Source organism: Homo sapiens, chromosome 3 (genome assembly GCF_000001405.40).
Source record: "Homo sapiens chromosome 3, GRCh38.p14 Primary Assembly".
Taxonomy (NCBI): Eukaryota; Metazoa; Chordata; class Mammalia; order Primates; family Hominidae; genus Homo; species Homo sapiens.
Genome location: NC_000003.12, coordinates 47733503 through 47758213, shown reverse-complemented (window position 1 = coordinate 47758213; position 24711 = coordinate 47733503). Strand labels below are relative to the sequence as shown.

General features: G+C 42.6%; 1 protein-coding gene across 1 annotated transcript in view, besides 1 other annotated feature; it reads left to right on the top strand.

The window, feature by feature from the left end:
- The window catches only part of SMARCC1 (SWI/SNF related BAF chromatin remodeling complex subunit C1), a 196625-nt gene that overhangs the window by 23680 nt on the left and 148234 nt on the right, over window positions 1-24711 (top strand). Inside the window, exons 3-5 of the mRNA NM_003074.4 lie at window positions 12221-12306; window positions 20104-20185; window positions 22088-22180. Of these exons, the coding sequence (NP_003065.3) occupies window positions 12221-12306; window positions 20104-20185; window positions 22088-22180 (261 nt within the window). The remainder of the gene's footprint in view (window positions 1-12220; window positions 12307-20103; window positions 20186-22087; window positions 22181-24711) is intronic.
- Window positions 14954-15093: an enhancer, noted in NCBI's record as "active region_19819". NCBI's record gives its function as "activates an Ori minimal core promoter by ATAC-STARR-seq in GM12878 lymphoblastoid cells {active_cell/tissue: GM12878}" and the evidence as "EXISTENCE:reporter gene assay evidence [ECO:0000049][PMID:35858748]".

Below are 24711 nucleotides of genomic sequence, written 5' to 3'. Positions count from 1 at the left end.
CAGGAGTTGAAGGCTGCAGTGAGTAGTGATCATTCCACTGCACTCCAGCCTGGGTGACACAGTGAGACCCTTGTTGTTTTTCGATAGCTGTTTCATAATTTGCCAACAGTTGCTGTATAGTATTCCGTTGTGGGAATACACCACAATTTTTTTTATTCATTTTGCATTGATAGGCTTTTGGGGTAATTTGCAGCTTAGAGCTATTATAAATAGTGCTGTTGTGAATATTTTTATATATTTCTTTTGCTCAACTTAGATGTTTCTTTTGGTTGTGTTCTTAAGAGTTTACTTGCTATGTCATAGGTTGGTCAACTTTAGTAGATGTTGCTAAACAGGTTTCCACAGCAGTTCTACCAATTTATACTCCCACAAACAGTGTATGAGCATTCTGATTTTCTTTTCTTTCTTTCTTTCTTTTTTTTTTTTTTTTGATACGGAGCCTCGCTTTGTCGCCCAGGCTGGAGTGCAGTGGCGGGATCTCGGCTCACTGCAAGCTCCGCCTCCCTGTTTCATGCCGTTTTCCTCCCTCAGCCTCCCGAGTAGCTGGGACTACAGGTGCATGCTGCCATGCCCGGCTAAGTTTTTGTATTTTTAGTAGAGATAGGGGTTCACCAGTTTCACGTGTTAGCCAGGATGGTCTCGATCTCCTGACCTCATGATCCACCTGCCTTGGCCTCCCAAAGTGCTGAGATTACAGGCATGAGCCACCACACCTGGCTGAGCGTTCTGATTTTCTACTTTCTCACCAATCCTTGGAATCTTTTTGTCTTTTACATTTTGGTTATTTAGTAGATTTGTGGTTATAATGCATTATTTTCTAGTTGCTAATAATTAATTAATGTGAGCAACTTTATTTATTGGCCACTTGGCTATCCTTTTTTGAGAAGTACCTGTTTAAATCTTTTGCCTGTTTAAAAATTTGCACATTGGTCTTTCTCTCTCTCTTTTTTTCTTTTCTTTTTTGAAACGGGGTCTGGCCTAATCACCCAGGCTGGAGTACATTGCCTTGATCATAGCTCACTGCGGCCTCAAACGCCTGGGCTCAGAGGATCTTCCCACCTCAGCCTCTCAAGCAGCTGGGACTACCAGTCCACACCACCACACCCGGATAATTTTTTCTGTTTTTTTGTAGAGACAGTCTCGCCTGATTGCCCAGGCTGATCTCAAACTCCTGGGCTCAAGTGATTCTCCCAGCTCGGCGTCCCAAAGTGCTGGGATTACAGGCGTGAGTCACCATACCTGGCTGAATTTTTCTTAGGTATTCTGGATATGGTTCATTGGTCAGAAATATTTATTCCAGATCTCTTCTCCCACTTAATAGTTTATGTTTTTACTCTCATAATGATGTCCTTTGATGAGCAGAGGTTTGTACTTGTCATATACAGCAGGAAACGGTAAACTTTTTCTGTAAAATACCAGATATTTTGGGCCTTTTGGGTCATATGGTTTGTGATGCAAGTACTTGCTTTTGCTGCTATTGTGTGAAAGTAGCCACAAGAAATACATGAATGTGAATTTGCTTCAGTAAAACTTTACAAAAACAAGAGTGGACTACATTTGACCCGTGGACCATTATTTGCCATTTCCTGATACAGAACAATTTAGTAAAATTTTTCTGTGTTGTTAATACTTTTTGTGTTCTTATAGAAATCTTTGCCTTTTTTTTTTTTTTTTTTTTTTGAGACGGAGTTTCGCTCTTGTTGCCCAGGCTGGAGCGCAATGGCGCGATCTCAGCTCACTGCAACCTCCGCCTCCCGGGTTCAAGTGATTCTCCTGCCTCAGCCTCTTGAGTAGCTGGAGTTACAGGCATGCGCCACCATGCCTGGCTGGTTTTGTATTTTTAGTAGAGACGGGGTTTCTCCATGTTGGTCAGGCTGGTCTCGAACTCCTGACCTCAGGTGATCTGCTCGCCTAGGCCTCCCAAAGTGGTAGGATTACAGGCATGAGCCACCACGCCTGGCCAGAAATCTTTGCCTTTTCTGAAGTCATGTATATATTCTTCTGTATTTTCTTCAAGAAGCTTTATTATTTATTTATTTTGAGATGCAGTATTGCCCTGTAGCCCAGGCTGGAGTGCAATGGCGCGATCTTGGCTCCCTGCAACCTCTGCCTCCTGGGTTCAAATGGTTCTGCTGCCTCAGCTTCCTGAGTGGCTGTAGCTGGGATTATAGGCGCCCGCCACCACGCCCAGCCTTTTTTTTTTTTTTTTTTTTTTTTTTTTTTTAAGATGAAGCCTGGCTCTGTCACCCGGGCTGAAATGCAGTGGCACCATCTCAGCTCACCGTAACCTCCGCCTCCCGGATTCAAGCGATTCCCTTGCCTCAGCCTTCAGAGTAGCTGGGATTACAGGTGCCTGCCACCACGCCTGGCTACTTTTTGTATTTTTAGTAGAGACGTGTTTCACCATGTTGGTCAGGCTGGTCTCGAACTCCTGACCTTGTGATCGGCCCGCCTCGGCCTCCCAAAGTGCTGGGATTACAGACATGAGCCACCGCGCCTGGCCTATTTTTTGTATTTTTAGTAGAGACGGAGTTTAACCATGTTGGCTAGGGTGGTCTCGAACTCCTGACCTCATGATCCGCCCGCCTTGACCACCCAAAGTGCTGGGATTACAGGCATGAGCCACCGTGCCTGGCCTGTTTTACATTTTAAACTTATAATTCTTTTTTTTTTTAAATTCGCTTTTTATTTAATTAGTTTTTCTTTTTTTTTTTTTTGAGACAGAGTCTTGCTCTGTTGCCCAGGCTGGAGTGCAGTGGCGCGATCTCAGCTCACTGCAAGCTCTGCCTCCCGGGTTCACGCCATTCTCCTGCCTCAGCCTCCCAAGTAGTTCGGACTACAGGCTGCCACCGTGCCTGTCTAATTTTTGTATTTTTTTTTAGACAGGGTTTCACCTTGTTAGCCAGGATGGTCTCGATCTCCTAACCTCATGATCAGCCCGCCTCAGCCTCCAAAAATGCTGCGGTTACAGTCATGAGCCACCGTGCCCGCCCTTAATTAATTTAGTTTTTGAGACAGACTCTCACTCAGACTGAAGTGCAGTGGTGCGATCTTGGCTCACTGCAGCCTCCACCTTCTGGTTTCAACCAGTTTTCCTGCCTCGGCCTCGCGAGTAGCTGGGATTACAGACGTGCATAACTGTGCCCGGATAATTTTTATTTATTTATTTTTGAGACAGAGTCTTGCTCTGTCATCCAGGCTGGAGTGCAGTGGCACGATCTCAGCTCACTGCAGCCTGTGCCTCCTGGGTTCAAGCGATTCTCCTGTCTCAGTTTTCCAAGTAGCTGGGATTACAAGTGCCCGCCACCATGCCTGACTAATTTTTCTATTTTTAGTAGAGACAGGGTTTCACCATGTTGGCTAGGCTGGTCTCGAACTCCTGACTTACAGTGGTTTGCTTGTTTTGGCCTCCCAAAGTTCTGGCATTACAGGCGTGGGGCACTGTGCCTAGCCTAGGGTTGTATTTTTTACCTCGCATGATTACCACTTTGACTTTTAGTTGTTTCTTTTTTTTCCTCCCTTTGATTTTTGCACCTGGGGATTTGCTTTCTTTCTAGGAATTCAGCTGCTCATTTAAAATAATGCGTGTTACTTTTACCCAACATTTCTACATGTTTATAGTGGTAGAGTGTAATAGTTCTTTAGTATACAATATTGCTGGAGCCAGCAACACTTTTCTCATCTGTAAAATGGGTGTAAAAGAGTAAAGTTCAGGCCAGGAGCCGTGGCTCACACCTGTAATCCCAACACTTTGGGAGGCCGAGGCTGGTGGATCACGAGGTCAAGAGATCGAGACCATCCTGGCCAACATGGTGAAACCCTGTCTCTACTAAAAATACAAAAATTAGCTGGGCGTGGTGGTGCGCGCCTGCAGTCCCAGCTACTGAGGAGGCTCAGGCAGGAGAATTGCTTGAACCTGGGAGGCGGAGGTTGCAGTGAGCTGAAATTGCACCACTGCACTCCAGCCTGGCGACAGAGCGAGACTCAGTCTCAAAAAAAAAAAAAAGAGTAAAGTTCATATGCTTGTTGTGACAAGTAAATGAGGAAATAAGTCAAAAGTGCTTCATGATAAATTCTCAGTGATTGGTGTCAATGCTAATACTTTTTGTTGTCTCCAAGACTATTACGGTAGCAGTGACCTATCATTAGAGGTGCTGATAATAATACAAATTCCAAATAAGTTTAATAGATAAGTAAATGTATGGAATTTTTGACGTGTGTCATTTTATTTTGTGAGGTATAAGAATTCTGGAATTTAAATGATGTATTTTTTTCTCTTTCAACCATTTTCAAGGTGTGAGGATGACTTTGTGATTTCTTGTGAACTTTCTTGGACACATTCTCTGCTTATTTACTACTTCACATCCCTTTTCTGGCACAGTCATTTATTGACTGATAGACCTAAACATAGTGTTAGAAATGTGAATACTCCTTTCATAGAAACACGTTTCTTTTTACCAATTGTTAGCACTACTTTGTCTTTTTTTTTTTTTTTTTTTTTGAGATGGAGTTTTGCTCTTGTTGCCCAGACTGGAGTGCAGTGGCGCAATCTCAGCTCACTGCAACCTCCGCCTCCCGAATTCAAGCGATTCCTGCCTCAGCCTCTCGAGTAGCTGGGATTACAGGCATGCACCACCACGCCCGGCTGATTTTTTTTGTATTTTTAGTAGAGACGGGGTTTCACCTTGGCCAGGCAGGTCTTGAACTCCTGACCTCAGGTGATCCGCCCGCCTCGGCCTCCCAAAGTGCTCAGATTACAGGCATGAGCCATCGCACCCGGCCTACTTTGTCTTTTATGAATAAATAAAGGAATAAAGAAATAAGGAATCCATGGCACAAATTATTGTAGTAGATTTATCTTCTCTTTTCTTCTTTTTTTTTTTTTTTTGGAGATGGAGTCTCGCTCTGTTGCCCAGGCTGGAGTGCAGTGGTGCGTTCTCAGCTCACTGCTACCTCCACCTCCTGGGTTCAAGTGATTCTCCTGTCTCATCCTCCTGAGTAGCTGGGACTACAGACGTGTCCCACCACGTCCGACTAAGATGGGGTTTTACCATGTTGGCCAGGATTGTCTCAGACTCCTCACCTCGTGATCCGCCCCCCTTGGACTCCCAAAGTGCTGAGATTACAGGCGTGAGCCGTAGTGCCCGGCCTAGATTTATTCTAAGTTTCATTCAGCTCAGCAAGATTTTAGGTGGGCTATAAATAAGTAGGGTGAAACCACTTATATATACCCAGGATAAGATCAGATTAAATTTCCAATAGAGTCAGCCAGGGATAGAATTGTTTATTAAAAGCAATTGGGTCACACAGTTGAGAGTAGAGGCAGCCTGTTAGAGTTGACTTTGACCCCCAGAGTCTCTAATTGGAGTGTTCAGCTGTTGAGATACTCATATAAGGCATCATTTTGCTGGCTCTAGAAATTTCAGTTTTTGCTACTTTTTTTTGTTTGTTTTTTTCAGACAGGACTGTGATCATGGGTCACTGCAGCTTCAGCCTCCTAGGCTCAACTAGCCCTCCTGACTCAGCCTACTGGGTAGCTGGGAGGTACATCCTACCATGCCGGGCTAATTTTATTTTAATTATTTTCTAGAGACAGGGTTTCGCTCTGTTATGTTGCTCAGGGTGTTCTTGTACTCCTGGCCTGAAGTGATCCTCCTGTCCCGGCCTCTCAACGTGTTAGAATTACAGGTGCGAGCCACTGCATCCGGCTGCCTTTTTATTCTTTAGGTTTTCCAATACGAATTAACAAGTATTTGCTCTAACATCCTGTGCTTTTCATTTAGGGAGTGTTTAAGAACTATACTCATTTTGAATTAGGGCAGGGCCTCTTCAGCATGGGGGTTTATAGGATGGGGCTGGAATGGGAGATACAGTCAAGGTTCAGTGAATGTCTCTAAGAAGTTTCTTGTTCCTATCTCCAGCTTTCCATTACCTGACTTTGATTTCTCACGTTTTCATTTGGGTGATTGTGCTACTGAGCTTTTTTGAGCCAATCCCAAGTCCGTTTCTATCCCAAATCCATTTGTGTGCAAGCCGTAAGAATCCTTGATGTATGGATAGGCCTTGCCCCTGCCAGTACCATTTTATTCTGCCACATCTGTAGAGGTTTGTTGTTGTTGTTGTTGTTTTTGAGATGAAGTCTCGCTCTGTCACTCAGGCTGGAGTACAGTGGCGCAATCTCGGTTCATCGCAACCTCTGCCTCCCGGGTTCAAGTGATTCTCCTGCCTCAGCCTCCTGAGTAGCTGGGATCACAGATGTGTGCCACCATGTCCTGCTAATTTTTTTGTATTTTTAGTAGTAATGGAGTTTCACCATGTTGGTCAGGCTGATCTTGAACTCCTGACCTCGTGATCCACCCTCCTCTGCCTCCCAAAGTGCTAGGATTACAGGCGTGAGCTACTGCGCCTGGCCAAGGTTTTTATCTCGTTGAACTTCATTATTGGAACTAGTACCTTTGATAGGTTCATGAGTTCCGTCTATTCCTTTTTATTTATTTTTATTTTTAAATAATATAGACAAGGTCTCCCTGTGTTACCCAGGCGGGTCTCGAACTCCTGGGCTCAAGAGGTCTTCCTACTGTGGCCTCCCAAAGTGCTGGGATTACACTACTTTTATGTATATTTTACCATTGGAAAATTGAATGTCAGTTTTGTTTTCTTTTTTTTTTTTTTTGAGACAGAGTCTTGCTCTGTTGCCCAGGCTGGAGTGCAGTGGCGTGATCTCAGCTCACTGCAACTTCCGCCTCCTGGGTTCAAGCGATTCTTCTGCCTCAGCCTCCCAAGTAGCTGGGACTACAGGTGCCTGCCACCATGCCCAGCTAATTTTTGTATTTTTGGTAGAGACAGGGTTTCCCCATATTGGCCAGGCTGGTCTTGAACTCCTTACCTCGTGATCAGCCTGCCTTGGCCTTCCAAAGTGTTGGGATTATAGGCATGAACCACCACGCCTGGCCATCTGTTTTCTACTTCATTCTCATCATCTGTCCCTGTAGTGGCTGAATAAAAGTTACTTTGTCGGCCAGGCGCGGTGGCTCACGCTAGTAATCCCAGCACTTTGGGAGGCTGAGGCGGGCGGATCACCTAAGGTCAGGAATTAAAGACCAGCCTGGCCAACCTGGTGAAACCCTGTCTCTACTAAAAATACAAAAATAAGCCTGGCGTGGTGGCACGTGTCTGTAATCCCAGCTACTCAGGAGGCTGAGGCAGGACAGTCCCTTGAACCCGGGAGGCAGAGGTTGCAGTCAGCTGAGATTGCGCCACTGCACTCCAGCCTGGGTGACAAGAGTGAGACTCTGGCTCAAAAAAAAAAAAAAATTACTTTGTCTTAAGCCTATATTTGGTAATGATTTCATTTTTCAAATTTAATATCTGTTGAGAAATTGACCTTATTTATATAGATGTTTTATTGTTATGGCCAGCTCAGTATATATTTCTGAGTAGCGTGGATCTCTAATTTTAAGTGGTGTCAATATAGTTGAACTGTTGAGAAAATTCAGATTACCTATGTTGTCAGGTGGCACATTGCTGAATATTGGTGATAGATTTGAATAAGCACTGTTCCTGTCCACAAGGAATTCATATTCCACATTAAATATATGAATCAGTCATGTCACTATTATGCTGAAGTGCAATAGTGATTACATGCATGGTTTGAGGAGAACATTTTAGACCAATCTGGGGATTTAGGGAAGGCTTTCTGTAGGAGAAGTAAGTCTCATTCTACTGTAGTAGATACCCACCTATTACATTAGTCTATTTATTTATTTATTTATTTATTTTTGAGATGGAGTTTCGTTCTGTCGCCAAGCTGGAGTGCCCTGGCGCGATCCCGGCTCACTGCATCCTCTGCCTCTCGGGTTCAAGTGATTCTCCTGCCTGAGCCTCCCAAGTAGCTGGGACTACAGGCGTGCACCACCACACCCAGCTAATTTTTGTATTTTTAGTAGAGACATGGTTTCACCATGTTGGCCAGGATGGTCTTGGATCTCTTGACCTTGTGATCCGTCCACCTTGGCCTCCCAAAGTGTTAGGATTATTGGCGTGAGCCACCGCGCCCAGCCTACATTAGTCTATTTTAAGATGTCAGCACTACAGAATTATAATGACTCGTGCATTTTCTTTTTTTTTTTTTTGAGATGGACTCTTGCTCTGTCACCCAGGCTGGAGTGCAGTGGCACCATCTTGGCTCACTGCAAGCTCCATGTCCCGGGTTCATGCTATTCTTCTGCCTCAGCCTCCTGAGTAGTTGGGACTACAGGCGCCTGCCACCACGCCCGGCTAAGTTTTTGTATTTTTAGTAGAGACGGGGTTTCACCATGTTAGCCAGGATGGTCTCGATCTCCTGACCTCGTGATCCACCCGCCTCGGCCTCCCAAAGTGCTCGGATTGTAGGCGTGAGCCACCTTTTTTATTTGCCTGCCCCCTCCCTCTATCCCTCTCCCCGCCACCTCTCTCTCTCTCTCTCTCTCTCTCTCTCTGTCTCTTTCTCTGTGTGTGTGTGTTTAATTTAGAGGGTCTCACTTTGTGTGTGTGTGTGTGTGTGTTTAATTTAGAGGGTCTCACTTTGTCATCCAGGCTGGAGTGCGGTGGTGTGGTCACAGCTCACTGTAGCCTCAACTTCCCAAGCTCAAGCAATCCATTTACCTCAGCCTCCTGAGTTGCTGGGACCACAGGCATGTGCCACTATACACGGCTCATTTTTGTTTTATAATTTATTTTATAGATGAGGTTTCGCTATGTTGCCCAGGATGGTCTTGAACTCCTGGTCTCATATGATCCTGCCTCGTTGGCCTCCCAAAGTGCTGGTTTTATAGGCGTGAGCCACTGTGCCTGGCCTATTTATTTTTTAAAATTTTATATATATTTAATTATGTTAGAATATCTGTAACAAAATATGCCATTTAAATGATTTTTATTTGTTGTTTGAGATAGGGTCTCCCTCTGTTACAGTGGCATGACATCAGCTCACTTCAACCTCTGCCTCCCAGGTTCAAGTGATCCTCCCACCTCAGCCTCCCAAGTAGCTGGGACTGCAGGTGCGTGCCACCACGCCCGGCTAATTTTTGTATTTTTTGGTAGAGATGGGATTTCACCATGTTGGCCAGGCTTGTCCCAAACTTCTGACCTCAAGTGATCAACCCAACTCGGCCTCCCAAAGTGCTGGGATTACAGGATACTCTTTATTTTTATTTATTACTATTTTTTTTTAAACAGATGAGGTCTCACTATGTTGACCAGGTTGGTCTTCTACTCTTGGGCCCAAGTGATCCTCCTGCCTCAGCCTCCCAAAGGTTTGGGATTATGGGATGGAGAAACTATGCTCACTTCTGTATCTATTAAACAATAACTTTCATTCCTTGTCCCTCTTTCCTTGGCAACCACCATTCTGCTTTTTGTCTTTTTAATGTTTGCCACCTATGTGGTTCTTTCCAGTATATTATTTTGTAGTAATAGTTTTTAGAGAAAAAAATGCATGGGTGTTTCTAATAACACTTCATCTTATTTAGCCTATTCGATGCTCAGTTTATATTGTTTTTACCTTCATAATGTGGAAATTATTCACCATTTCGTTTAATTTGAGCTATATTTTTAATCTGTAAAGCACAGATCTCTTGAATTGTGGCATAGATTTTAGCTATTATAGTTTTATATAGTTACACCACATTTTTATGGTCATTAAATATTATAATAGGCCGGGTGCGGTGGCTCATGCCTGTAATCCCAGCACTTTGGGAGGCCAAGGTGGGCGGATCACTTGAGATCAAGAGTTTCATATCAGCTTGGCCAATATGGCAAAAGTTTGTCTTTTAAATATGCAAAAAACAGAAAAAAAATTAGCCAGGCGTATTGGCACTTGCTTGTAATCCCAACTACTTGGGAGGCTGAGATACGAGAATTCCTTGAACCCAGAAGGCAGAGGCTACAGTGAGCCATGATCACCCAGCTGTACTCCAGCCTGAGCAACACAGTGAGACCCTGTTTCAAAAAGATAAAAAAGTATAATAAAAGTGTTCACTTACAATTTTTGCATAATTTATGTTTTTATTTTTATTTTTTATTTTTTGTTGAGACAGTCTCACTGTGTCGCCCAGGCTGGAGTGCAGTGGTGTGATCTTGGCAACCTCTGCCCCTGGGTTCAAGCGATTCTCCTGCCTCAGCCTCCCGAGTAGCTGGGATTACATGCGCCCGCCACCATGCCTGGCTAATTTTTGTATTTTTAGTAGAGATGGGGCTTCACCATGTTGGCCGTGCTGGTGGCAAACTCCTCACCTCACATGATCCACCCGCTTTGGCCTTCCAAAGTGCTGGGATTACAGGCGTGAGCCACCATGCCTGGCCTAATTTTTGTATATTTATAGTCAAGAATTTATAAGGCGAAGAAGTCCACTATCCTTATATTTCTTTTTTTCTTTTGTTTCTTTGTGACAAAGTTTCACTTCCTTGCCCAAGCTGGCCTCAAACTCCTGGCTTCAAGCAGTCCTCCCTTCCTCCCTGCCTTCTTTCTCAACCAGAGTACTGGGGTTACAGGCATTTTCTTTGGAACCATTTTGATTTATCTTTTTTATAAAAAAATTTGTTTTTTGAGATAAGGTCACACTCTGTCACCCAGGCTGGATTTGTCACCATCACAGTTCACTACAGCTTGACTTCCCATGCTCATGCAATCCTCCTACCTCAGCCTCCTGAGTAGGTGGGACTACAGGCGTGTGCCACCATGCCTGGCTAATTTTTATATTTATATTTATATTTATATTTATATTTATATTTATATTTTTTTGAGACAAATTCTGGTTTTATTGCCCAGGCTAGAGTATAGTGGCATGGTCTCAGCTCACTGCAACCTTTGCCTCCTAGGTTCAAGCCATCCTCCTACCTCAGCCTCCCAGTAGCTGGGGCTACAGGCACACTCCCCCCATGCCTGGCTAATTTCTTTTGCATTTTTTGTTGAGACGGGGTTTCACCATGTTGCCCAGGCTGGTCTTGAACTCCTGTGCTCAAGCCATCTGCCCGCTTCGGCCTGCCAAATGCTGGGATTACAGGTGTGAGCCACTCCTGCACCTGGCCTAATTTTTAAATTTTTTGTAGAGGTAGGATCTCACTGTGTTGCCCAAGCTGGTCTCAGACTCCTGGCCTCAAGTGATTCTTTCACCTTGGTGTCTCAAAATGTTAGAATTACTGGTGTGTAGCCAGGCACGATGGCTCATGCCTGTAATCACAGCACTTTGGGAGGTTGAGGCGGGCAGATCACCTGAGGTTGGGAGTTCGAGACCAGCCTGGCCAACATAGAGAAACCCTGTCTCTACTAAAAATGCAAAATTAGCCGGGCGTGGTCATGCATGCCTATAATCCCAGCTACTTAGGAGGCTGAGGCAGGAGAATCACTTGAACCTGGGAGGCGTAGGTTGCAGTGAGCCGAGATAGCACCATTGCACTCCAGCCTGGGCAACAAAAGCAAAATTCTATCTCAAAAAAAAAAAAAAAAAAAAATTACTGATGTGAGCCACTGCTCCTGGCCTATATTTAGCTTTTTAAAATCTTTCTTTTGACAGACTAATTACTCAAATTATAATATGTTTATGGAATTTAAAAGGAATTCTTTTGGGGAGGGGTATGGGGTCTTGCTATATTGTCCAGGCTGGTTTTGAATTTCTGTGCTCAAGTGATTCTTTCATCTCAGCCTCCCAAGTAGCTGCGACTATAGGTGTGAGCCACTGTACTGGCTACAAGAAAGTAGTTTCACTTCAGTTTATTTCATTTGATTTTTCTTGAGACAGCATCTCACTCTGTCATCCAGGGCTGGAGTGCAGTAGGGCGATCAGGGCTCACCGCAGGCTCAACCTCTCAGGCTGAAGTGATCCTCCCACCCCAGCCTCCTGGATAGGATTGCAGGTGTGTGCCACAATGCACAGCTAATTTTTAAATTTTTTTCTAGAGACTGGATCTCCCTGTGTTGCCCAGACTGGTCTTGAACTCCTGGGCTTAAGTGATCCTCCTGTTTCACGCTCCCAGAGTGTTGGGATTACAGGCATGAGCCACCATGCCCAGCCTAATCTACTTTTAGAAAAATGTATTGATTCCTCAGTTTATTCAAGAAGATGTTTAAGGAGGTTGTTTAATTAGTATTTGTTTATATATTTGAATTTATAAAACTTAGAATTAAGACATGAGTAATTTTGTCAGAAGCTTTATTTTTCTCATGTGTAATTTGTATCATTTTTAGGCAAAGTGTTTCATGGATTTCAAAGCTGGAGGCGCCTTATGTCACATTCTTGGGGCTGCTTACAAGTATAAAAATGAACAGGGATGGTAAGTTTTTGTATTTGTTTGCATGTTTTGATCTTAAGTTATTTACTTTTAAGTCCTGTTTCCTTGTGTTAGAAAATCCTGTAAGCACATGATGATTAATGTGTTTTACCAAGAGCCCTAATTTACCTTGTTTCTACATCCAAGAAAAATATCAAGCAACCACGTATTTATTTATTTTTGAGACAGGGTCTTAAAAATAGGACCAACCAAGGCTGTTGGCAAGGCTAGAAGTGCAGTGGTGGAATCTCAGGTCACTGCATCCCGCGCATCAGATTCAAGCAATTCTCATGCCCCAGCCTCCTGAGTAGCTGGGACTGTAGGCGTGCACCACCATGCCTGGCTAATTTTTCTATTTTTAGTAGAAATAGGGTTTTGTCATGTTGGTCAGGCTGCTCTCAAACTCCTGGCCTCAAGCACTCCACCCATCTCAGCCTCCCAAAGTGCTGGGATTACAGGCGTGAGCCACCGCACCCGGCCACAACCAAGTATTTATTAGGGAAGTGATTTCTTATATTTGATTTTTATAGTAACAGGTGTACATTGTTAGCAAATTAGAAGGTAGGCTTGCCATGAAATGTGTGTGTATAATGAACTCATACATTATATTTGAAGTGGATAGATAGTATTTTTGTTTGTTTGTTTTGTTTTTTTGAGACTTAGTTGCGCTTTTTCGCCCAGGCTGGAGTGAAGTGGCACCATCTCAGCTCACTGCAACCTTCCAGTGATTCTCCTGCCTCAGCCTCCTGAGTAACTGGGATTACAGGCACCTGCCACCACATGCCCAGCTAATTTTTGCATTTTTAGTAGAGATGGGGTTTCACCATGTTGGCCAGGCTGGTCTCGAACTCCTGACCTCAGGCGATCTACCTGCCTTGACCTTCCAAGGTGCTAGGATTACAGGTGTGAGCCACCGTGCCTGGCCAGATAGCAGTTTTAAGAGATAAAGTTATCTAGGCCTGCAAGAGTATTCCATTTTGCTATCCTCAGGACAGGGATAAAAGAAATAGAGATCTTTGCCTAGGTCAGTGTTGTAGATAGATTGAGAATCCCTGCAGATATTCCTGCCATTTTGCTCCCTTCAGTCTTTTCCCCTTTTCTAGCTGTCTCTCTTGGTACTATTTCTTTTTTTTCTCTTGAACTCTGGAGTTTCCATCAGTTACTGGGACTAGTGATGTCCTGAGCTGTGGGGTTGTCAGGGACATAGTTCACAGGGTAGGGTTGGGGGAGTGGAGTATATTGTCCTGAAATTGTTTGGTATTTTCAGTTGAGTTAGTGGTGCACAGTTTATAACCTTAGCATCTTTCCAGGAGAATACACATGTAATTTATATATTTTACTTTAAAAGTTAAGCTAACCCAATACTTTATGGTTGGGAAGTGCAAATAAATATTTAGATCAACAATAAGGACAAGTGTGTAATTAAATAAATTATTTATATAGTAAATAGTAGGAGATACAAACTTACATGTGTATTTACTGAAACTTTTTATATATGGATGGTGTTTAATAGATATTGATTTGGATCACCTGAGGTCAGGAGTTCGAGTCCAGACTGGCCATCATGGCGAAACCCTGTCTCTACTAAAAATACAAAAAAAATTAGCCAGACTTGGTGGCAGGCACTTGTAATCCCAGGTACTCAGGAGGCTGAGACAGGAGAATTGCTTGAACCCGGGAGACGGAGGTTGCAGTGAGCTGAGATTGCGCCACTGCACTCCTGCCTGGGCTGTCTCCAAAAAAAAAGATATTGACTAAAGTAGCATGAGACTTGTTTCTTTTTGTTATCAGAGGTAGCTCTCTGTTTTCCAGTTCTGTGTCTAGCTCTGATGTTGGACCTCTCACGATGGTATTCCCTATCTAGGAGCAACGGCATGTCTCTGTACTTGTAGAGATGGTTTGTACCCTACTGTTAACTCTGGGTTCCCAGTTGGAACTCTTTTCTGTCCTTGGTTCTTGTTTAGCTTTTATCACAAGTCCTAACCTGGACACTTGAGGATAGAATACCAAAGTGATATGATTTTTCCTAGGTCACATATTGTGGAACTTGCTTTGTGTCTGTAGTTTCTGCACAATGAAATTTTTTTTTTTTTTTTTTGAGACATAGTCTCGCTCTGTCACCCAGGCCGGAGTGCAGTGGTGTAATCTCGGCTCACTGCAACCTCTACCTCCCAGGTTCAAGCAGTTCTCCTGCCTCACCCTCCTGAGTAGCTGGGATTACAGGTGCCTGCCACCACACATGGCTAATTTTTGTATTTTTAGTAGAGACCAGGTTTCTCCATGTTGGCCAGGCTGGTCTTGAACTCCTGACTCAGGTGACCCGCCAGACTCGGCCTCCCAAAATGCTGGGATTACAGGCATGAGTCACCATGCCCGGCCACAGTGAAATATTTTTATCTGAAATCACTTGCAGTAGTTTAGAAAGATACGTGTAATACAGGCCGGGTGCAGTGGCTTGTCTCAAAAAAAAAGGAAGATATATGTAATACAGTTTCCTTAAAATTAAAAGTGGGACTAAAAAAGACGTAAAGGATAGGGTTAGCATTGTCAGGAATAAGAATTTTTCCAAGTCTTTTATGCAGATTGTGCCAGAATTATTTCCTTTCAGGTATAGTTATGTGTCCAGTTTCAGTGTGCACCTTCTCTCATCTCTTGTGCCTCGCACACTTGAAGTGAGTGCATATTTTAGTAACTCCCCACTCTGTTTGGATATCTGAATACTGACCTGTCATTCTTGCCCCATGCCTAACATGCCTCTCAGAACTTTGTCTGTGTTCTTTAATTGAACCTCACAGTCTAGGTTGCATTTCTGGCTTTAGGTCCAAAGTTTGCTGGTTTTGTTATTACGGCAAGCACTATTTTCTTCTTATTTCATTGTGGTTCTGCTTTCTTACTGACTTCTCAGTAGTCTTTGTTTTAGTCTCTAGTGACACGAAGCTCTAATGTCATGCATATGAGGTTGAATGGGAATACCTGGTAATTACTAGCATATTTGTGAAGAGACTGTACAGATTAATATTACAGAATTGGCCAGCTGTGGTGGCTCATGCCTGTAATCCCAGCACTTTGGGAGGCTGAGGTCAGCGGATTGCTTGAGCCCAGGAGTTTGAACCCAGCCCAGGCAATGTGGGAAAACTCAGCCTCTACAAAAAATAGGAAAATTAGCTGGGTGTGGTGGTGCATGCCTATAGTCCCAGCTACTCCGGATGCTGAGGTGGGAGGATCACTTGAGTTCAGGATGTAGAGGCTGCAGTGAACCAAGATTGCACCACTGCACTCCAGCCTGGGTGACAGAGACCCTGTGTCAAAAACAGAAAGAGAGATTACAGAATTGAAATGTTAAGTTTGATCTTTCTGGATGTTTCTAAATAGGTAAAATCAATGAGTGTCTTATTTATGGTTTTTCTCCTGAAGGATAAAACTTTGTATAGAGTTGAAGTATAGTTATATGTAACTGAAGGATAACAAGTTTGACCTATTCATGGAAATCCAAACGGATCTCCCAAAGGAGAGATTAAATACCAAGTTCAATTAAGTAATAGAGAGTTGACTGTTAGTGCCCACATGCCCAGAGATTAGGACGTTGTTTATTTTTTCCTACAGTTCTAAAGAGATTGTTACATGTTTTTTTTTTTTTCTTTTTTGAGACGGAGTCTTGCTCTGTCACCCAGCAGGCTGGAACCCTATCTTGAGAATGTTTATATTAAGTTTTGCTTTCTAATAATACAGATAGATGTTCAAGCTTCAACCCGAAAGAGGAATGCAAATTAGAACTATAATCATTAGGCTGGTGTGGTGGCTCATGCCTGTAAAAGGGCATCAGAAGCAAACTTCTAAAAGGAAAAACAAAAATGCACTGAGCCAAAGGCAAGACAACAATAGAACCAAACAGTTTTGTGGGGAAGTGACAAAAGCTGGCCTCAAATAAGGAGCTTTGTATGATGACAGCAAGCTATAATACCCTGGAGGCCATCCCCACAGGATGGTCTAGTATGCCATACCCCAAAAGGGTGGCAAACATCATAGTGGTGCCAGGTGTGGTAACTCACACCTATAATCTGAGCACTTTGGGAGGCTGAGGCAGAAGAATCACTTAAGTCCAGGAGTTCAAGACTAACCTGGGCAACATAGCAAGACCCCATCTCTATTTTTTAAAATAATAGTAAAATAAATAGATATCCTGGAGGCAATTAGAGCTCTGAAAACAGGTATACAAGTATGAAGAATGAGGGGTGAAGAATTGAAGAATAAGGAAAGGAAAATATATTTGTTATTCATTAAATGGAAGTGTATCGTAAAGATACTCATCCTTGTCTTCACGTTGAGTAGTTGGAGGAGTAAGGGAAAAGAGAAAGGCTGTTCTTGCTTTCTTGGATGGTAGAGGTAGAAGAAAATCCACATATGAATAGACCTCATTTCCAGCCTATGTTGTTTAAGGGTCAAGTTTAGATATTTTGCCATGTATTTATTTCTCAAATAGGATTTTAGAAAGTGTAATAACACTACCATTATTACAGATATGAAAATTAGCAATAATTTTTAATATTAAATCGTTGAGTGTTCAAATTTCCCTTATCTCATAAATGATTTTTATATCTTATTTGAATTAATATTCAAACAAGGTGCAGTGCAGACATTGCCTTTGGTTGATATGACTAACTCTCTTCGAAAAAGTTAAAGTTTTCTATCTCTTCCGTCTCTTTTCCTCACAAGTACCTCCCGCTCTACTGAAACAGTTGTCTCGTAGGATTGTCCATGTTTTATTAGATTTTGCTTATATGCCTCCAGTTTATCATTTAACATGGTCTTCTAAATTTCTTGTAAACTGGTGGTAGAAGCTTAGTCTGATTTGGTTCCTTATCTTTTTTTGGCAACAATAATAATCATAGATAATGTTTTATTCTTCTATCTGGAGGTATACAATATCTGGTTGTTTATGTGTGTAGTGGGCAGACATTGATGTTCACTGCCTAGAGTCATTTCATTACAACTTTACAAAGTCACAATATTCTAATTTTGAAAATTAGATTGTAGGTTTTTGTTTTTTTTTTTTTTTTTTTGAGTCAGAGTCTCCCTCTGTCGCCCAGGCTGGAGTGCAGTTTATAGTTTGCTCTGTAAAGCTGCACATTCTTCTAGCCAGTAGGGCTGTAAAGGAAAAGTTTTAAAAACCTGGCCATTGTCCTCAAGGTATCTAATGAGATGTCTCACTAACAAGATAGTTCTTTGATGGGGCTGTATCAGCATTGTGCACAGGATGTATTAAGAACATGAAAGGCCGGCGCACTGGCTCATGCCTATAATCCCAGCACTTTGGGAGGCTGAGGTGGGTGGATCACGAGGTCAGGAGTTCAAGACCTGCCTGGCCCACATGGTGAAACTCCATTTCTACTAAAAATACAAAAATTAGCCGGGTGTGGGCCAGGCATAGTGGCTCACACCTGTAATCACAGTGCTTTGGGAGGCCGAGGTGGGTGGATCTCGAGGTCAGGAGTTTGAGATCAGCCCTGCCAATATGATGAAACCCCGTCTCTACTAAAGATACAAAAGATTAGCAGGGTGTGGTGGTGCATGCCTGTAATCCCAGCTACTCGGGAGGCTGAGGCAGGAGAATCGCTTGAACCCAGAAGGCGGAGGTTGCAGTAAGCTGAGATCGCCCCATTGCACTCCAGTCTGGACGACAGGGCGAGAGTCTGTCTTTTAAAAAAAAAAAAAAAAAAAAAAAAAAAAAAAAAGATGGCCGGGCGTGGTGGCTCACATCTGTAATCTGTAATCCCAGCTCTTTGAGAGACTGAGGTGTGCGATCACCTGAGGTCAGGAGTTCGAGTCCAGCCTGGCCAACATGGTGAAACCCTGTCTCTACTTATTAAATACCTGGGTGTCGTGGAGCACACCTGTAATCCCAGCTAATCAGGAGGCTGAGGCAGGAGAATCGCTTGAATCCAGGAAGCGGAGGTTGTGGTGAATCGAGATCACACCACTGCACTCCAGCCTGGGCAATAGAGTGGGACTCCATTTAAAACAACAACAACATGAAAGAAGATAGGCTTAGCTTTATAGAGCAAGTGACTTGGGGACTGATTCTGGAAGTGATAGTGTCAGGCCCATTGAGTGGTAGTGGGTAGCCTGGAAAGGCTATAGAGTTTAAAAAGAAAGATTGGAAGTGTGGGGAACATCTCCAGAATAAAATAGCATGACATGTGAGTTAAAAGTATGAGCTCTGGACTCAGACTGCCTAATGCTAGGTAGTACCTGGTAATGATTAAGAAAATTATAACTGGGCCAGGCGTGTTGGCTCACCCCTGTAATGTCAGCACTTTGGGAGGCTGAGGTGGGAGGATTGTTTGAGCTCAGGAATTTGAGACCAGTCTGGACCAACATAGTGAGACCTTTGGCTTTACAAAAATAAAAATAAAGAACAGTTACCTGAGTGTGATGGCTGGTGCCTATGGACCCAGCTACTCAAGGCTGAGGTTGAGGTGGGAGTATCCCCTGAGCCCAGGAGTTCAAGGTTACAGGGAGCTCTTACTGCACCAGAGCATTCCAGCCTAGGTGACACAGTGAGACTCTGCCTCAAAAAACAAAAATTATAACTATAGCTAACATTTATTGATCAGTTACTTTATATTAAACTTAAGCACTGTTCTAATATATACCTCATTTAACCTTCACAAAAGCCCACAGTAAGCTGTTATATTTATGAAGCAGTGGATCCTTGGGTTAACAAATTGCTCAAGACTAATGTAGTTTTCCACAATCCTTACTTTCAGTCACTAAGCTCTACTCCTGTCCTGGATGTTAGTGTTAAAAGAATTAAAACAGAGCAAAAACAAAGTAGGTATTGAATAAAAAGTAAGGAGAAACAGGCATTAGACTTTGTAAAGATTTTACCAAATGGAGGTGACATGCTTGGGAACTTAATGTAAAGAGACATTGGAGAAGAGTTTCAAGTAAAGGTAAATAGATCAGTGTTACCACATTTAGGAAAACAGTACTTGTTATTCATACTTGTGGGTTTGGGATACCCCCAGCTATCAAGTGATTTCAGATTAAGGGATAGTCTCTGCTCTTGACTGCTACTGTGGCCAGTTAAAAATTTTATTTGGAGAAAACTTGTCTGTTTAAATCACAAGTCTTACAGCTGTATTAGAATTAAATACCCAAGATGCTTTCCTTTATCTAAGAGAACACAGATACTGCTGAATTTGAACAAATGATTTTTTTTTTTTTTGAGACGGAGTCTTGCTCTGTCACCAGGCTAGAGTGCAGTGGCGTGATCCCGGCTCACTGCAACCTCCGCCTCTCGGGTTCAAGTGATTCTCCTGCCTCAGCCTCCTGAGTAGCTGGGATTACAGGTGTGCACCACCATGCCCAGTTGATTTTTGTATTTTTAGTAGAGATGGGGTTTCACCACGTTGGCCAGGCTGGTCTTGAACTCTTGATCTCTTGATCCACCCGCCTCAGCCTCCCAAAGTGCTGGGATTACAGGCGTCAGCCACTGCGCCCAGCCTGGATATGTGGACTACTTTTCTATAAGATGTAAGATGTCTTAGATTTAAGGAAAATTAGATAGATATGTCATGGAATTGATACTTCATTTTCACTGAGGTGGATCTTAATATCTCTTTTATAAGGGTGTTGATACTATGTATTCTTATGTTACTGAGAGAATGTCTCACACATTTTGTAGAGTTATTTTAATTTTCAAATCTTTCTAACTCATTTGCATCGAATTCTAAAACCAAGTTTTCATTTGTGTTTAAGCTGGGAGACAAATTAACTAGGGTTTTTCTTTTTTTTTAGGCGGAGGTTTGACCTACAGAACCCATCTCGAATGGATCGTAATGTGGAAATGTTTATGAACATTGAAAAAACATTGGTGCAGGTAACTTGGAAACTTAGGTTATTTAAAAAGTTTACCTTTAATATATTTTCAGTTTTAAGATTGGCTGGCCAGGCGCGGTGGCTCATGCCTGTAATCCCAGCACTTTGGGAGGCCGAGGCAAGGCGGATCACGAGGTCAGGAGATCGAGACCATCCTGGCTAACACGGTGAAACCCCGTCTCTACTTAAAAAAAAAAAAAAAAAAAATTAGCCGCACGTGGTTCCGGGTACCTGTAGTCCCAGCTACTCTGGTGGCTGAGGCAAGAGAATGGTGTGAACCTGGGAGGCGGAGCTTGCAGTGAGCCGAGATTGCGCCCCTGCACTCCAGCCTGGGCAACAGAGCGAGACTCCGTCTCAAACAACAAAAACAAAAAAAAGATTGGCTCTCAAAAAAACAAAAAAAACCACAGATTGGCTTTATTGGATTGCCAAAAGAACAAAGGAAGAAAATGTTCTGAAAGGTATTGTTTTATTATTTTTATGGGTGTTTGGGGATTAGAGCTATGATTAATCTTGTCTTTAAGAGTATTAAAATTTATGGTGAGATAATTTATGGTAATTTTCTTCATTAATTTTACCTAATGTATTGTTTGAGTTGTCTTTATTTTATTATTTTATTTTTATTTTCTTTGAGACAGGGTCTCACTCTGTCACCCAGGCTGGAGTGCAGTGGTGCAGTCAGAGCTAGGCTCACTGCAGCTTTGAACTCTCGGGCTCAAGTGATTCTCCCACCTCAGCTTTCCCTGTAGCTGGGACTACAGGCACACGCCATCACACCTGGCTAATTTTTTTATATCTTTTGTAGAAATGGGGTTTTGCCATGTTAGCCAGGCTGGTCTCAAATTCATGAATTCAAGCGATTTGCTTGCTTGGCCTCCCAAAGTTCTGGGATTACAGGCATGAACCACAGAGTCCGGCCTGCCTTCATTTTATTTAGTATAAGCACTCTTCCATCCTACTGTTCACTTGATTGAATATTTTCTTTGGATTTGTTCCATGGTTGTACCATAAATATACATATTATTTCTCTAAATGTATTATAACTTGGAAAAGAGAATGCTTAATGTCCTTATTTGTGTTTCCTAATATGTTTATTGTTTGATAATTTATGGTGATCACTAAATTAACCTTCCTGGGGAGAGGTAGCTGGCAAAAATTCAGTTAGATATTATTGTTAACTTAATATGTGAAAGTTGTTTGTCCCACAGATTCTTAGCTAGGGAAACAATTGGATATGTTTTGTTTGTTGGGTGAGGGTTTTCTTCATGATTTGGGGAGTTAACATACATGTTTTGCCATTGCTATTTTTTATTTTTTTTATTTATTTTATTTGATTTTATATATTTATTTTTTGAGATGGAATCTCACTCTGTCACCCAGGCTGGAGTTCAGTGGTGTGATCTCGGCTCACTGCAAGCTCCAACCTCCCGGGTTCACGCCATTCTCCTGCCTCAGCCTCCCGAGTAGCTGGGACTACAGGCGCCCACCACCACGCCTGGCTAATTTTTTTGTATTTTTAGTAGAGACAGGGTTTCACCGTGTTAGCCAGGATGGTCTTGATCTCCTGACCTCATGATCCGCCCATCTCGGCCTCCCAAAGTGCTGGGATTACAGGCGTGAGCCACTTGCCATTGCTATTTTTAAGATTAACTGTAATCCCTTCCGTAGCTAAAAACACTACATTAGACCATTAAAGTAAATTTGGGTAAAATTGGGGAGGAAGATTAATCTGGCAATCTGGTATGGTATCTTAATGAAAAAGTTGCTGAATTTCTTTAGGTCATGCTTCTCAATATTTTTTGTGGCAGAAAAGGTTATCTGGGGGTGGTTTGTATATTGCATAAATAATATGATATTATTTCAAAACTAAGAGAATTTGAAAGTCTGTTCTTTTCATCCTCAGAACAATTGTTTGACCAGACCCAACATCTACCTCATTCCAGACATTGATCTGAAGTTGGCTAACAAATTGAAAGATATCATCAAACGACATCAGGTAATAGACACAATCACTTCAGATAATAATAGACACGATCACTTCATTTTGTAGTTGTAAGCCTCTAATAAATGACAACCATAGTAATGTTTTGGATTTTTTGATATATTTGCATCAAAAGAAATTTTTTTCTTGAGTTTTTTTTTTTTTTTTCTTTTTAGAGATGAGGTGTCACTTTGTTGCCCAGGCTGGAATGCAATGGCACTATCCTAGCATCCTTGCTCACTGTAGCTTTGGACTTCTGGGCTCAAGAGATCTTCCAGTTTTTTTGTTGTTGTGGTTGAGAGAGTCTCGCGCTGTCGCCCAGGCTAGAGTGTAGGGGTGCAATCCCGGTTCATTGCATCCTCTGCCTCCGAGGTTCAAGTGATTCTCGTGCCTCAGCCTCCGAAATTGCTGGGACTACAGGTGTGTGCTAATTGTATTTTTCGTAGAGGTGGGGTTTTGCCATGTTGGTGAGCCTGGTCTCGAACTCCTGACCTCGAGTGATCTCCCCACCTCAGCCTCCCAAAGTGCTGGGATTACAGGCATGAGCCACTGTGCCCGGCCACAATGGTTTCTCACTATGTTCCCAGGCTGGTCTTGAATTCCTGGCTTCAAGTCATCCTCCAGCCTCGCCCTCCCAAAGTATTAGGATTGATTATAGGTGTGAGCCACCATACCTGGCCTCTTTTTGAGTTCTTAAAGTACCAGTGTTTTTTTTCTCTCCCCTCATCTTTAGCTTTTAGCCTAGAGTAGCATTTAATAAAGTCATTGCTATGGAGTCGTTAGTCTTATTGTAAAGTGTGCTTACATAGACCTAAGGAAACTAGTGTATTATGTATCACAGAACCCTATATCACAGAGATTATAAAGTCAAATAGAGTTGGTAACATAATTGTTGGTAAGAAGAAATGAAGTATTACTTTCAAGTAATCCTGTCTTCCCTAACCCCCCATTTTATGTATTCTGTTACATATATGATTTAAAAAAAAAAATTGAAGGCCGGGCGTGGTGGCTCACGCCTGTAATCCCAGCACTTTGAGAGGCCAAGGCGGGCGGATCACGAGGTCAAGAGATTGAGACCATCCTGGCCAACATGGTGAAACTCTGTCTCTACTAAAAATATAAAATTAGCTGGGCATGGTGGCATGCCACTGTAGTCCCAGCTACTGGGGAGGCTGAGTCAGGAGAATCACTTGAACCCAGGAAGTGGAGGTTGCAGTGAGCTGAGATGGCGCCACTGTGCTCCTGGTGACAGAGCGAGACTCCGTCTCAGAAAAATTCTGCCCCCTCAAGCTTGCTTTGTCTTGATACACATGTACTAGTACTGTGTTCTGACATCTTAGCCTTCTTCTTCTGACTTCATTTTAGGCTGAGACTTTGGGTATTTACTACATGTAAGTTTGTGATTACATGTGACTAAACTGTAATTAAGCCCATCACATAGTAAGCTAGCTGAGGAGACTTACGTAGAAGATAATTTTCCTGAAACATTCTTTATGTGACTGAGTTTTATGGATCCTTAGAATTGGTTGAGAAGCCTCATGAAATGTCTTTTTTTCCTGCTGCAAAAGAGATTACCAATTGTATTATGTTTTAGCATTTAGTAAAATATCTTGCATGTTCTGAAAGTTAATGTTTCTAATACTGCGTACAATTATAGATTGAGTACATTCTTCCTCTTATATATGACATCTCTCTCAAAGTGTAAGGTAATATAATTATTTTATCATATTGGGCAATCTGAAGTCCAGTTCCTTTTTTCACTAGTATCATGGCTTTGAACAGATTCCTTAAACATCTCTCTTTTGGAATATCTTTTTATTGGATTGACTGTCAAATGCAGTTTAAAGTATATGTGGAATGTTACCAGGGCAGAAGTAGAACAAATTAACCTGCTGTTTCTTGCCTTGAAGCTGAAATTACCTACTCTTTTTGTCACCGGGTCATACTGGAAACATTTTATATATTGCCTACAGTTTATGCTGAATATTTAGCTGTTACATACGTGTGTGTATGTCTGTATATACATATGTGTATACATATATGTAGATATACATACATATGTATATATATACACACACGTACATATATGTGTATACATGTATATATGTGCTTGTATATATGTATATACAAGCACATATGTGTGTATATATATACGTGTATATATACCTTTTTTTTTTTTTTTTTTGAGACAGAGTCTCGCTGTGTCGCCCAGGCTGGAGTGCCATGGCGTGATCTTGGCTCACTGCAAGCTCTGCCTCCTGGGTTCACACCATTCTCTTGCCTCAGCCTCCCGAGTAGCTGGGACTACAGGCGCCCACCACCACGCCTTGCTAATTTTTTTGTATTTTTAGTAGAGACGGGGTTTCGATCTCTTGACCTTGTGATCCGCCCGCCTCGGCCTCCCAAAGTGCTGGGATTACGGGCATGAGCCACCGCACCTGGCCCTTGCGCTGCTAATTTTTTATTTTTTAGTAGAGACGGGGTTTCACCATATTGGAAAGGCTGGTCTCGAATTCCTGACTTCATGATCTGCCCAAAGTGCTGAG